Below are 14,593 nucleotides of genomic sequence, written 5' to 3' on the forward strand. Positions count from 1 at the left end.
AAAATATCTTTTTAAATAGTTTTTACTTCCAATGTAAATGTTTATATATTTACGTAGCTAGTCATCTTGGTTAGCCAACAGTTAGAAAACAACAGTTTTGCTGTTCCTTTTTAGTGTCATGTTTTACTTAACTTACAGCCTGCATTTGAAAATACTGTTTATGCTTCCTATGACATATTCCATAAAAATTGCTATTCCTTAAATATACATTTTAGCTGGAAGCAAGGACATATTTCAATGAAGAAAACAACTGCCAGAATGGTAAATTTGCTAATCTATAGGAATAAAGGATAATTTTTACCTCAGAGGTCATATATATCACAATTGAAAGGAAAAGGGAGACTGAAAATTTAGGTGGAAACTTTGTCCTTTAATCAGATTTGTTTTTTATCTTCTGACTTCCTTTGTGGTTCTTTTTGCCTGTATAATGTAAAACCCATAAGGTAAAAGTAAATAATTCCAACTATTTTATTTTATTTTATTTTTCAGACAGGGTCTCACTCCGTCACCCAGGCTGGAGTACAGTGGCACAATCTCGGTTCTCTGCAACCTCCATCGCCCAGGCTCAAGTGATCCCCCCACCTCAACCTCCCAAGTAGCTGGGATTACAAGCCTGCACCTCTATGCCCAGCTAATTTTTGTGTTTTTAGTAGAGACAAGGTTTTGCCATGTTGGCCAGGCTGGTCTCGAACTCCTGACCTCAGGTGATCCAAAAGCCTTGGCCTCCCCAAGTGCTGGGATTACAGGCTTGAGCCACCACACCTGGCCAATTATTTTATTAAGGTAATGGATATCTCCTTTGAATTGATAGCTTTTGCCTCACTCTTGACTTTGGAATATTTAGAGATTCTTATTTTATGTTGTAAACTATAGTGTTATTGCTAACCTTTCATATGAAAGTTGCTGAGTAATGCTAAAAACTCTTGCCAATTCTATAATTAAGTCATAGTTATCCACTTTAACAGCCTAAAATTCAATTCTTATAGATTATCGGGGGAACCCACCCCCAATATTTCAAAATAGGTTCTATTTTCCATAAGTGTCGGCCAGCTGAGAAATAAAGAGAAAGAGTACAAAGAGAGGAATTTTACAGCTGGGCCTCCGGGGGTGACATCATATATCGGTAGGACTGTGATACCCGCCTGAGTCTCAGACCAGCAAGTTTTTATTAAGGGTTTCAAAAAAGGGGAGGGGGTGTAAAACAGGGAGTAGGTAAAAAGATCACATGCTTCAAAGGGCAAAAAGCAGAACAAAGGTCTCATGCTTCTGAAGGAACAGGACAAAAGGCAAAACAAAACTACTGATAAGGGACTATGTTCAGCTGTGCACGTATTGTCTTGATAAACATCCTAAACAACAGAAAACAGGGTTTGAGAGCAGAGAGCCGGTCTGACCACAAATTTAACAGGGCAGAGTTTTTCCCCACCCTAATAAGCCTGAGGGTACTGCAGGAGACCAGGGCATATTTCAGTCCTTATCTCAACCGCATAAGACAGACACTCCCAGAGCAGCTGTTTATAGACCTCCCCACAGGAATGCATTCCTTTCCCAGGGTATTAATATTAATATTCCCTGCTAGGAAAAGAATTTAGTGATATCTCTCCTACTTGCACGTCTGTTTATAGGCTGTCTGCAAGAAGAAAAATATGGCTCTTTTTGCCCAACCCCACAGGCAGTCAGACCTTATGGTTGTCTTCCCTTGTTCCCTAAAAATCGCTGTTATTCTGTTCTTTTTTGAGGTGCACTGATTTCATGTTGTTCAAACACACATGTTTTACCATCAATTTGTACAGTTAACACAATTATCACAGTGGTCCTGAGGTGACATACATACTCAGCTTATGAAGATAACAGGATTAAGAGACTAAAGTAAAGACAGGCATAAGAAATTATAAAAGTATTATTTGGGAACTGATAAATGTCCATGAAACCTTCACAATTTATGTTTAGAGATTAAAGTAAAGACAGGCATAAGAAATTATAAAAGTATTATTTGGGTACTGATAAATGCCCGTATTAAAATGAAACTTTCACAATTTATGTTCCTCTGCCACAGCTTCAGCCAGTCCCTCCATTTGGGGTCCCTGACTTCTTGCAACAATAGACTAATTTATAAAGAAGTTTATTGTAAGTGGCACCAAAGATCACACAATAATAAGACTCTTAAAATATAATTCATTTTAGATAAATATAAATTCAACAAACTTTTAGTAATAATAATAATGATTTTATTTGGCAATACAATAGTAGAACTGGATGCATAGTTTGATGAAATGAAAAATAAAGTTATCTATTAATGTATTCTTCCTCCCTTCTAGTTCTTTCCCTGTTTCCTTTTTTCTTTTTTCATTCTCTCTTTCTCTCCCTCCCTTCCTTTTTCCTTCCCTTCTTCCTTCCTTCTCTTTTTCACTTCCTTTAATCTCCCCCACCCTCTTTTTAATCTATATTTCTGTTAATTCTGTATGTCTATGTTTTTCCTTCCTTTATAGTCTCACTTTCTTTCTCTCTCAATTTTGCAATTTTTAATCTTCCTTTGTCTTCCTGTTACTTAATTTGCAAAACCTTTTTTGATTTACACAATTACTTTGCTCAAACTATAACATATGTCCAGACTTTTCCAGACTCTAAATATATAAATTCATGAAGCAATAAAGATACAAATAGCAACAGCATCTGTCTTCTCAATCTTAAAATTGAGATTTTAAGATCAAGAATGATTCTCTTTGACATATAGGGAAAGCTTCTGTATTGAAGAAAGTGATGAATTTTAGAGATGAACATGACAACTGTGCAACTACTGTTTAATCAATCCTGGCCAAAGTAAATTTTGCTTCCAACATATTAAAGAAACAAATATCTCCAGTCAGGCACAGTCATATTATTAAATTCTAAAATAAATGATGCAAAGATTATTTTGTCTCAATTTTTAACACAAAACCTGTGTGTGAGTGTGTGTGTGTGTATAAACTGAAAACTATATAAAATATAAGTTTTCTAAATTTCCCTCTCAAATAATTTATATATAATACATTGATAATTCAAAATTATAGTATAAAATCTATTTGTTTTTAAATATATTAATATTTTTGGGGAAACTAACAATTTAATCTCTTCTCTTGCAAATATGTAGCCAGATGAATCTAGCTCTGGACAGTTATAAGCAAAGAAAAACTAACGGAAAAATACAGAGGCCTGAAGAATCACAGAGGGAAACTCATTTGGTTAGTAATATTATTTTTACTTCATTTTCCATCCTTCAATTACAGAGGTCAAGATTCAGTTTCACTAAAAAATTACTTTTTATAATATTTTCTTTTATTTTTATTGTCATAGGTTTTTGGGGAACAAGTGGGGTTTGGTTACATGAGTGGGTTCTTTAGTGGTGATTTGTGAGATTTTGGTGCACCCATCACCCGAGCAGTATTCACTGTACCCAATTTGTAGTCTTTTATTCCTTACCACCACCCCTGCTATTGCCCCTAAGTCTCCAGAGTCTATTGTATCATTCTAATGCCTTTCCATCCTAATAGCTTAGCTCCCACTTATGAGTGAGAACATACAATGATTGGTTTTCCATTCCTGAGTTTCATCACTTAGAATGGGTCTCCTATCCCATCCAGGTTTCCGTGAATGCCACTATTTTTTTCCTTTTTATGGCTAAATAATATTCTATTGTATATATATATATATATATATATATATATATATATGTCACAATTTCTTTATCCACTTATGGATTGATGGGCATATGAGCTGGTTCCATATTTTTGCAATTGCAAATTGTGCTGCTATGAACATGCATGTGCAAGTATCTTTTTTGTATAATTACTTCTTTTCCTCTGGGTAGATACCCAGTAATGGAATTGCTGGATCAAATGGTAGCTCTACTTTTAGTTCTTTAAGGACTCTCCACACTGTTTTCCATGGCAGTTGTATTAGTTTACATTCCCACCAGCAGTCTAAAAATGTTTCCTTTTCACTGCTTCTCTGCCAACATCTATTATTATTTTTTTATTTTTTGATGATGGCTATTCTTTCAGAGTAAAGTGGTATCACATTGTGGTTTTGATTTGCATTTCCCTGATCATTAGTGATGTTGAGCATTTTTTCATATGTTTGTTGGCGTATATCTTCCTTTGAGACTTGACTATTCACGTCCTTAGTCCATTTTTTTGATGGGATTGTTTATGTTTTTCTTGCTAATTTATTTGAGTTCCTTGTAGATTCTGGATATAACTCTTTTGTCAGATGTATAGATTGTGATGATTTTCTCCCACTCTGTGGGTTGTCTGTTTACTCTGTTGACTGTTTCTTTTGCTGTGAAGAAAATTTAGTTTAATTAAGTTCCAGCTATTTATTTATTTTATTTATTTTATTTTTTGCATTTGCTTTTGGGATTTTGGTCATGAAGTCTTTGCCTAAACCAATGTCTAGAAGGGTATTTCGGATGTTATCTTCTAAAATTTTTGTGGTTTCAGGTCTTAGATTTAAGTCCTTGAGGTATCTTGAGATGATTTTTGAATAAGGTGAGTGATGAGGATCCAGTTTCATTCTTCTGCATGTGGCTTGCCAATTATCCCAGCACAATGTGTTGAATACAGTGTCCTTTCTCCACTTTATGTTTTTGTTTGCTGTGTCAAAGACCAGTTGCCTGTAAGTATTTGGCTTTATTTCTAAGTTCTCTGTTACATTAGTCTATGTGCCTATTTTTATACCAGTACCATGCTGTTTTGGTGACTATGGCCTTATAGTATAGTTTCACATCAGGTAATGTGATGTCTCCAGATTTGTTCTTTTTGCTTAGTCTTGCTTTGGCTATGTGGGCTCTTTTTTGGTTCCAGATGAATTTTATAATTGTTTTTTCTAGTTCTGTCAAGAATGATGATGGTATTTTGATAGGAATTGCATTGAATTTGTAGATTGCTTTTGGCAGTGTTGTCATTTTCACAATATTCATACTACCCATCCATGAACATGAGACATGTTTCCATTTGTTTGTGTCATCTATGATGTTTTTCAGCAGGGTTTTGGAATTTTTCTTGTAGAGTTATTTCACCTCCTTGGTTAGGTGCACTCCTAAGTATTTTATTTCATTTTTTTGCAGCTATTGTAAAGGTGGTTGAATTCTTGATTTGATTCTCAGCTTGGTTGCTGCTAGTGTATAGCAGAACGAATGATGTGTATACATAAATTTTGTATCCTGTAACTTCGTTGAATTCATTTATCAGTTCTAGGAGCTTTTTAGATGAGTCTTTAGGGTTTTCTAGGAACACAGTCAGATCATCAGCAAACAGCAAGTGTTTGACTTCCTCTTTACCAATTTGGATGTCTTTTCTTTCTTTCTCTTATCTGGTTGTTTTGACTAGGACTTCCAGTTCTATGTAGAATAGAAATGGTGAGAGTCGGCATCCCTGTCTTGTTCCAGTTCTCAGAGGGAAAGTTTTCTGCTTTTCCCCGTTCAGTATTATGTTAGCTGTGCGTTTGTCATACATGACATTTATTACATTAAAGTATGTACCTTCTATGCCGATTTTGCTGAGGTTTTTCATCATAAGGGGATGCTGGATTTGTCAAATTGTCAATGCTTTTTCTGCATCTATTGAGATGATCCTTATCATCTCATAATTATTAAAGATATTATTAAAGATTATTGTCTTTAATTCTGTGTATATGGTGTATCACGTTTTTTGACTTGTGTATGTTAAACCGCTCCTGCTTTCCTGGTATGATACCCATTTGATCATGGTGGATTATCTTTTTGATATGCTGTTGGATTCTGTTAGCTAATATTTTGTTAAGGATTTTTGCATCTATATTCATCAGGAATATTGGTCTGTAGTTTTTTCATTGTTGTTGTTATGTCCTTTCCGGTTTTGGTATTTGTGATGCTGGTTTCATAGAATGATTACACTTGTGGAACAGTGTAAATAGATTTGTACCAATCCTTCTTTGAATATCTGATAGAATTCAGCTATGAATCTGTCTGGCCCTGGACTTTTTGTTGTTGTTGTTGGCAATTTTTTGTTATCACTTCAATCTTACTGCTTGTTATTGGTCTGTTCGAGGTATCTAATTTTTCCTGGTTTAAGCTAGGAGAGTTGTGTATTTCCAGGAATTTATTCATCTTCTCAAGGTTTTCTAGTTTATGTGCATTAAGGTGTTGATAGTAGCCTTGAATGATCTTTTGTATTTTTGTTTTCTTGGTTGCAATATCTCCTGTTTCATTTCTAATTGAACTTATTTGGATCTTCTCTCTTCCTGGTTATTGTTGCTCATGGTCTATCAATTTTATTTATCTTTTCAAAGAACCAGCTTTTTGTTTCATTTATCTTTTGTCTTGTTTTTTTTTTGTTGTTGTTGTTTGTTTCTTTCAGTTTTATTTAGTTCTGCTCTGATCTTGATTATTTCTTTTCTTCTGCTGGGTTTGGGTTTGGTTTGTTCTTGTTACTCAAGTTCCTTGAGGTGTGACCTTAGATTGTCTATTTGTGCTCTTTCAGATCTTTTGATGTAGGCATTTAAGGCTGTGAACTTACCCCTTGGCCCTGCCTTTGCTGTATCTCAGAGGTTTTGATAAGTTGTGTCATTATTATCATTCAGTTCAAATAATTTTTAAATTTCCATCTTGATTTCATTGTTGACCCCATGATCATTCCACAGCAGATTATTTAATTTCCATGTATCCACATGGTTTTGAAGGTTCCTTTTGGGGTTGATTTCCAATTTTAGTTCACTGTAGTAGGAGAGAGTACTTGATATAATTTGAATTTTCTTAAATTTATTGAGATTTGTTTTTGGCCTATCATATGGCCCATCTTGGAGAATGCTCCATGCACTGATGAATAAAATGTATATTCTGTGTTTGTTTGGTAGAATATTCTGTAAATATCTGTTAAGTCCATTTGTTCTAGGGTAAAATTTAAATCCATTTTTTCTTGGTTGACTTTCTGTCTTAATGACCTGTCTAGTGCTGTCATTGGAGTATTGAAATCCCCCACTATAATTGTATTGCTGTCTATCTCATGTCTTAGGTCTAGTAGTAATTGTTTTATAAATTTGGGAGCTCCAGTGTTAGGTGCATATATATTTAGGATTGTGATACTTTCCTGTTGGACAGCAGCTTTTATCATTATATAATGGCCCTTTTTGTCTTGTTTAACTGCTGTTGCTTTAAACTTTGTTTTGTCTGATATAAGAATAGCTACTCCTGCTCACTTTTGGTGTTTGTTTGCATGGAATGTCTTTTTTTGCCCTTTTATCTTCAGTTTATTTGTGTCCTTATGTGTTAGATGAGTCTCTTGAAGGCAGCAGATACTTGGTTGGTGAATTCTTATCCATTCTGCCATTACATATCTTTTAAGTGGAGCATTAGACAGTTTACATTCAACATTAGTATTGAGATGTGAGGTACTATTCTATTCATCATGCTATTTGTTGCCTGAATACCTTGGTTTTTGATATTATTTGTTGTGTTGTTTTATAGGTCCTGTGAGATTTATGCTTTTAAGAGGTTCTTTTTTGATGTATTTTTGGATGTACTTTGAGGATTTGTTTCAAGACTTAGTGCTCCTTTTAGCAGTTCTTATAGTGCTGGCTTGAAAGTGGCATACTCTCTCAGCATTTGTTTGTCTCAAAATGACTGTATCTTTCTTTCATTTATGAAGCTTACTTTCCCTGGATACAAAATTCTTGGGTGATAATTGTTTTGTTTAAAGAGGCTGAGGATAGAGCCCCAATTCTTTCTTGCTTGTAGGGTTTCTGCTGAGAAATCTGCTATTAATCTGCTTATCTCATGCTTTTGCCTCGCAGCTGTTAATATTATTTCCTTTGTCTTGACTTTAGATAACCTGATGACTATGTGCCTAGGTGATTATCTTTTTTTGTAATGAATTTTCCAGGTGTTCTTTGAGCTTCTTGCATTTGGATGTCTGAGTCTCCAGCAAGGCCGGGACAGTATTCTTCAATTATTTCCCAAAATGTGTTTTCCAAACTTGTAGATTTCTCTTCTTCCTCAGGAATGCCAATTATTCTTAGGTTTGGTCATTTAACATAATCTCTAACTTCTTGGTGGCTTTGTTCAGTTTAAATTTTTTTTTTTGTCTTTGTTGGATTATTTCAAAAACCTTGTCTTCAAGCACTGAAGTTATGTCTTCTTCTTGTTCAATTCTACTGCAGAGACTTTCCAGTGCCTTTTGCATTTCTATAGCTGTGTCCTTGGTTTCCAGAAGCTGTGATGGTTTTCTATTTATGTTATCTATTTTACTGAAAATTTCTCCCCTCATATCTTGTATCATTTTTTTAATTTCATTAAATTAGACTTTACTTTTCTCTGGTGCCTCCTTTATTAACTTAATAATGGACCTTCTGAATTCCTTTTCTGACATATCAGTAATTTCTTCTTGGTTTGGATCCATTGCTGGTGAGGTAGTATGATTTTTTGAAGGTGTTAAAGAACGTTGTTTTGTCATATTACCATAATTGTTCTTTTGGTTTTTTATGTTTTGGGTAGGCTATGTCAGAGGGAAGATCTGGGGCTCAATGGCTGTTGTTCAGAATATTTTGTCCCACAGGGTGCTCCCTTGATGTAGTACTCTCCCCTTTTTCCTAGGGATGTGGCTTTCTGAGACCCAAACTGCAGTGATTGTTATTTCTCTTTTGGATATAGCCACCCAGTGGGGCTACTGGGTTTTGGGCTAGTACTGGGGGGGTTGTCTGCATGGAGTCCTGTGATGTAAACCGTCTTCTAGTCTCTCAGCCATGGATAGCTGCACCTGCTTCAGTGGAGATGGCAGGGCAGTGAAATGGACTCTGTGAGGGTCCTTAGTTTTGTTGTTGTTGTTTATTGAACTAGTTTTATGCTGGTTGGCCTCCTGCTAGGAGGTGGTGTTTTTAAGAAAGCATCAGCTGTGGGTAGTACAGGGAGGATCAGGGAGTGGGCAGGGCCCTAGAACTCCCAAGATAATATGACTTTTTTTTTTTTTTTTTTTTGAGACAGAGTCTCACTCTGTCACCCAGGCTGGAGTGCAGTTGCGTGATTTCGGTTCACTGCCAGCTGTGCCTCCTGGGTTCACACCATTCTCCTGCCTCAGCCTCCTAAGTAGCTGGGACTATAGGTGCCCACCACCACACCCAGTTAATTTTTTGTGTTTTTAGTAGAGATGGGCTTTCACCATGTTAGCCAGGATGGTCTCGATCTCCTGACCTCGTAATCTGTCTGCCTCAACCTCCCAAAGTACTGGGATTACAGGCATGAGCTACCACACCTGGCTGAGAATATGACATTTGTCTTCAGCTACCAGGATGGGTAGAGAAAGACCATCATGTGGGGGTAGGATCAGACATGTCTGAGATCAGATTCTCCTTGGGCAGGGCTTGCTGCAGCTGCTGTGCGGGATGGTGGTGTGGTTCCCAGGTTAATGGAGTTATGTTCCCAGGAGGATTATGGCTGCCTCTGCTGTGTCATGCAGGTCACAAGGGAAGTAATAAAAATCTGGCAGTTACAAGCCTCAGCCAGCTCCCATGCAACCCAAAAGGCCGGTCTGACTCCCACCATGCCCCTGACCACCAACAGCCCTGAGTTTATTTCCAGGCAGTGGGCAAGCAGGGCTGAGAACTTGCCCCAGGCTACCAGCCTCCTGGCTGAGAAAGCAAGCAGGGGTTTCAGGTTTCATGCCTCCCTGCCTGCCTGCATCTGTACTCTGGATTCAACCCCTCCCATGAATTTTGTTCAAGAACCTTTGTGTTTGGTTGGAATTGTTACGATGTTCATCTGGATGTTTCTTTCCCTTGTGGTGTTTTCCCAGTTCCTCTGGCAGCTCTCCCCAAGGACACCTGTGAGACAAAGTCAGAAGTGGCTTCCCTGGTGACCCAGAGAGACCACAGGGCTCTTGCCGCTGCTTCCTCTACTCCCGTATTTTGCCGAGCTCTCTAAATTGTCTCAGCTCTAGGTAAGATCAAATCCTTCTCCCATAATTTGGACCTTTAGGTTCCCCAGTGAGGGTATGTGTTTGGGGGCAGATGATCCCCGTTTTCTACTTTCACACTTTGGGCACTCACAGTATTTGAGCTGTCTCCTTGGTCCTGCAGAAGGTAAATTGCAAGTTGTTAAAGACCATACAGGCACTAGGAGATTAGAACAGCTCTCCTTGGGTGCAGTTGGCATAAAGAAGCATCCGGAAATTTGGGCTAAGTTGCTATTTTCTCAGGCACAACATTCTCAGTGGATTATTTTCATTTATTATTTTTAAAATAAATTCATATTTTTGGGAGTTTGTCAAATGCCGTATTGCTTTGAAAAAATCAATAATCTAACAGTGCTAAGAGATATTTATTTTATCTCCATTAATCTATGTTAAAGTGATACATGTTTAAGAAAACAATAATAAAATGATCATATCTTGCGATTACTTATTTTAACCAACTAAGTTTCTAAGTAGAAATGTTGCAAACATTTTTGATATCAGCAAAATAAACAAATGAAGTATATAAAATAAAAATTCAAGAAAATGAATGGGGAAAATATTCTTACCTGTCAGGCACTATTGTTATATTTTAAGTATAAAAAATTTTGTAACCTGGTCCCAGTCCCTGAACTCTGTGATAATTCACTGTGGTAAAAAAACAGCAGCAAAACAAGGAAAGCATTTATAAGACAGAAGCAGCTAATGCGGTATTAAAAATGAATAGTCATAAAGACCTGAAAACAGAAAACTGTTCACATAAGTGATTGAGTCACCTAAAGTGAGATGTGTTTGAGGCAATTCCTCTGGGGCACTCTAAATTCCTTCAAATATATGTAACATTTAAATATTCCATTAACTCTCTAAATAGCTGGTTCCTATTTCCCAAGACTTAATAAAGCTTTTTGTGATGACTTTCAAATTTTGCACACTGGATTCATCTTGTATTGAAGTTGGGCTCCAACACATTGAATTCCATCACACTTATCATAATTGCTTCTTTTAATAAATTTCTAGGAGCTCCTTTTTTAATTCTCTTCATAGACTAAAGAGTATGCGTCACTCTGTAAGTAGAGGCACCCACATACTATTCATTGATTCAACAAATTAATTCAACAAATATGTATTGAGTGCCAACTGTGCTAGGCTTTGAAGCAACATTTAGGTCCTTATTCAAGGTATTATACAAGGGTTCCCAGATCTTAGGAAATGAGCAGAATTTACTATCCCATTATTTTGCTATGATTTCATTATGAGTTGTGTGACATTGAGTAATTCTTGATACTAAGCTTTATTATCAATATAACAACTTGGAGGAGTTGAATAAGAGTAGTGTTTTTGAATAATGGACAGCCATCTAATCAAGGGTCATATAGTCACTTTAAGGAGAGATGATCAGTGTTTTTAAATAGAATAGAGTCAAAAATGGCACAGCATGTTTAAGAATATATGTAAGTTTGGGAAACTTTTATTTTTTTAAGCTATGTATACATGTGTATATTGTATGGTGGCTCTGCATGTGTACATTTTGTAGTGAGTCATGGTTTAAAATATATGTCTTTACTATATCTCATATTCAAAAACATTCAAAGACTTTGGACTGGAAGACTGGGAGAATCTAGAATTTGTAAATATTCTGTGATTTTTCTATTTGATATTCCATCCTAAAGGACCTTCTAGAACCATAGTACTTTTTATCTGGATTATGTCATTTTACACACTGTAAACAATCATGAAACCATAATGATGAGTAAAGAATTAATCTTTACCTCATTATACTTTATTGATAACCTTTTTTCTTAATATGAAAGAAAATATTAAAGAAATGAGACAGTTTGGCTAGAAAAATGGAGAAAATAGAATTAAAAAGATTCTGAACAAGATGTTTTGCCTAAAAACACTGGAATCAGCTGAAGTACTACAGGACATAGTAACCAGGGCTGGAGGAATAGAATGTACACCAGGCTTTGCAACCTGGATTCTAATGCTAGTTTTCCAATATAATTTAATATTAATTAGCTTATTTTACTCCTATCCTCTTTATTTATTTATTACAATTATTTTTGTGATAATAATATTTACATAATATCTACTCTCTTAGCAAATGCTTAAGTATACAATGCTGTGTTGTTAACTATAAGCATTCTGTTGTACCTGAGATCTCTAAAATTTCTTCATCTTGCATAACTCTTTGTAACTTTTGGTTAATATTTCCTTGTTTCCCCCTCTCCCCCAGTTCCTGGCAATCACTATTCTGCTCTCCGCTTCTGTGAATTTTACTATTTTACTTTCCTCATATAAATGGAATCATGTAGTATTTGTCCTTCTGTATCTGGCTTATTTGACATCAATTTAACAATCATAGCGATGGTGATAATAATCATAATGATTAAGATTTATTGGTCACTTATTATATTCTAGGCACTGTTCTAAGCAATTTACATATATATTATTTTATTTATTCATCACAGTAACCCCAACAGGAAGGCATTATTTTTATTTCCAGTTTTACAGATGAGTAAACTGAAGCACATAAGTAATTTATTCGTTATAGACTATGTACAAAAAATAATAATAGGCACTGAAGGTACAAAGATGAGTAAGACATGGTCTCTGCCCATAAGGAGTTTACTGTTTAGTAGAAAAGCACAAATTAAAAAAAAATGATTATCAAATGTGATCTACTCTAAACAAGAATTGCATAAAAATGACAGTGAGGACTCTAGAGGACTGAGCTGCCTGGCTGGGATTTGAGGAAGCGTTCACAAAGTGGTGATAGGAGATCTGGCTCTTAAAGGATGGGTAGAAATTTTCTGCATAAACAAGGCAGGTAAAAAAATTGTATAAATCAAGGAGCAGGCACAAAGGAGGTCTGAAATAGGACATTGTGTTTAGGAATGACCAGTAATATCTAATAAATTTGCATCTTTCTCCATGTATCTTAGCTTCATACTATGTGGTCACAAGGATCATATTCACAAAATTCTCCAATGCCAAGCAATTTACTAAACACAAACTGATTCTAGCCTGCCTTGCACTCTTAGTGCTTATGTGATATAGAAAAATGCAGATCAAAACTAAAATAAGATATCATCTCACCCCAGTTAAATGGCTTATATCCAAAAGGCAGGCAACAATAAATGCTGACAATGATGTGGAGAAAAAGTAAACCCTCATAAACTGTTGGGTAGGAATGTATATTAATATGACTACTAAGGAGAACTGTTTAGAGGTTCTTCAAAAAACTAGAAATTGAGCCACCATTTGATCCAGCAATCCGACCACTGGATATGTATGCCAAAGAAAGGAAATAAGTATATCAAAAAGATATCTGCAGTCCTCTATTTGTTGCAGTACTGTTTACAATAGCTAAGATTTTGAAGCAACCTGAGTGTCCATCAACAGATGAATGGATAAAGAAAACGTGGTAAATATACAAAATGGAGTACTTTTTAGCCATAATAAAGAATAAGATCTAGTCATTTGCTACAACATGGATGGAACTGGAGATCATTATGTTAAGTGAAACAAGCCTCTCTCAGAGAAGCAAACATTGCATGTTCTCACTTATTTGTGGGATCTAAAAATAAAATCAATGTAACTCATGGACATAGAGATTAGTAGGATGGTTACCAGAGGCTGGGAAGGGTAGTGGGGTTTGGGAGGGAGGTAGGGATGGTCAATGGGAAAAAAATAGAAAGAATGAATATGGCCTACTATTTGATAGCAAAATAGGGTGAACATAGTCAACAATAACTTAATTATATATTTTTAAATAACTTAAAGAATGAAACTGGATTTTTTATAACTCAAAAGATAAATGCTTGGGGGGATGGATACTTCATTCTCCATGATATGCATATTTCACAATGCATGCCTGTATCAAAACATCTCACATACCACAAAAGAGTGTACACTTTTACTATGTAATCACAAAAATTTAAAAAGAAAAAATTTAAAAAAAGAAAAGTGAGATGATCTATGAACTGAGAAAATTCAATAGAAGCAGAAATGCAGGGGCAGAAATGACTAGGAGAAACATAGGAAATAAGAGAGTACCTGGAAATATGGAGGGAAATAATATTTTCTCCATTATATGAAAACATGGGTCAATGCTATTCAAATTCAGTATAACTGTTGACCATGGCTGTCGCAATTGTACATAAGAAAACTTATGCTTAGAGAGTTTAACCATTGTGCCCAATTTACACAAGGAATGAGTGCTGGTACTCATACTTAAACCTAGGTCTGTTGATTATATTCCATTCTTTTTGAGTGGTATCAGAATCTTCCACATAATAGGGTAATTAGATATATATCCTTAAAAGCCTTATTGGTCCTTGTTAATTTTCTAGTTTCTTCATTGAATATTTGATGAAGAATGCCAAAATATCTTGCAAAAAAATTGAGAGAACAAGTCTTGTGGTAGATTAAATTGAAATAACTTGAAAACAAAAGTAATTTTAAAAAGTATTACAAGGCAATGGCTCACAGTGTAATCCTGGCAATTTGGGAGGTGAAGGGCACATTGGCTCACAGCTGTAGTCCCAGCAATTTGGGAGGCCAAGGCACTTGAGCTTAGGAGTTTGAGATAAGCCTGGGTAACACAGTGAGACTTCATCTCTACAAAATTTAGC

The 14,593-nt window shown here is 35.7% G+C and overlaps 1 long non-coding RNA gene across 1 annotated transcript in view; it reads left to right on the plus strand.

Moving 5' to 3' along the window:
- The window catches only part of LOC105373288 (uncharacterized), a 42,537-nt gene that overhangs the window by 8,194 nt on the left and 19,750 nt on the right, over positions 1 to 14,593 (plus strand). The window contains exons 2-4 of the long non-coding RNA XR_938457.3: positions 490 to 783; positions 3,131 to 3,221; positions 9,801 to 9,944. This is a non-coding gene — a long non-coding RNA (uncharacterized LOC105373288). The remainder of the gene's footprint in view (positions 1 to 489; positions 784 to 3,130; positions 3,222 to 9,800; positions 9,945 to 14,593) is intronic.

The sequence above is a fragment of the Homo sapiens genome, chromosome X (assembly GCF_000001405.40).
Source record: "Homo sapiens chromosome X, GRCh38.p14 Primary Assembly".
Classification (NCBI taxonomy): domain Eukaryota; kingdom Metazoa; phylum Chordata; class Mammalia; order Primates; family Hominidae; genus Homo; species Homo sapiens.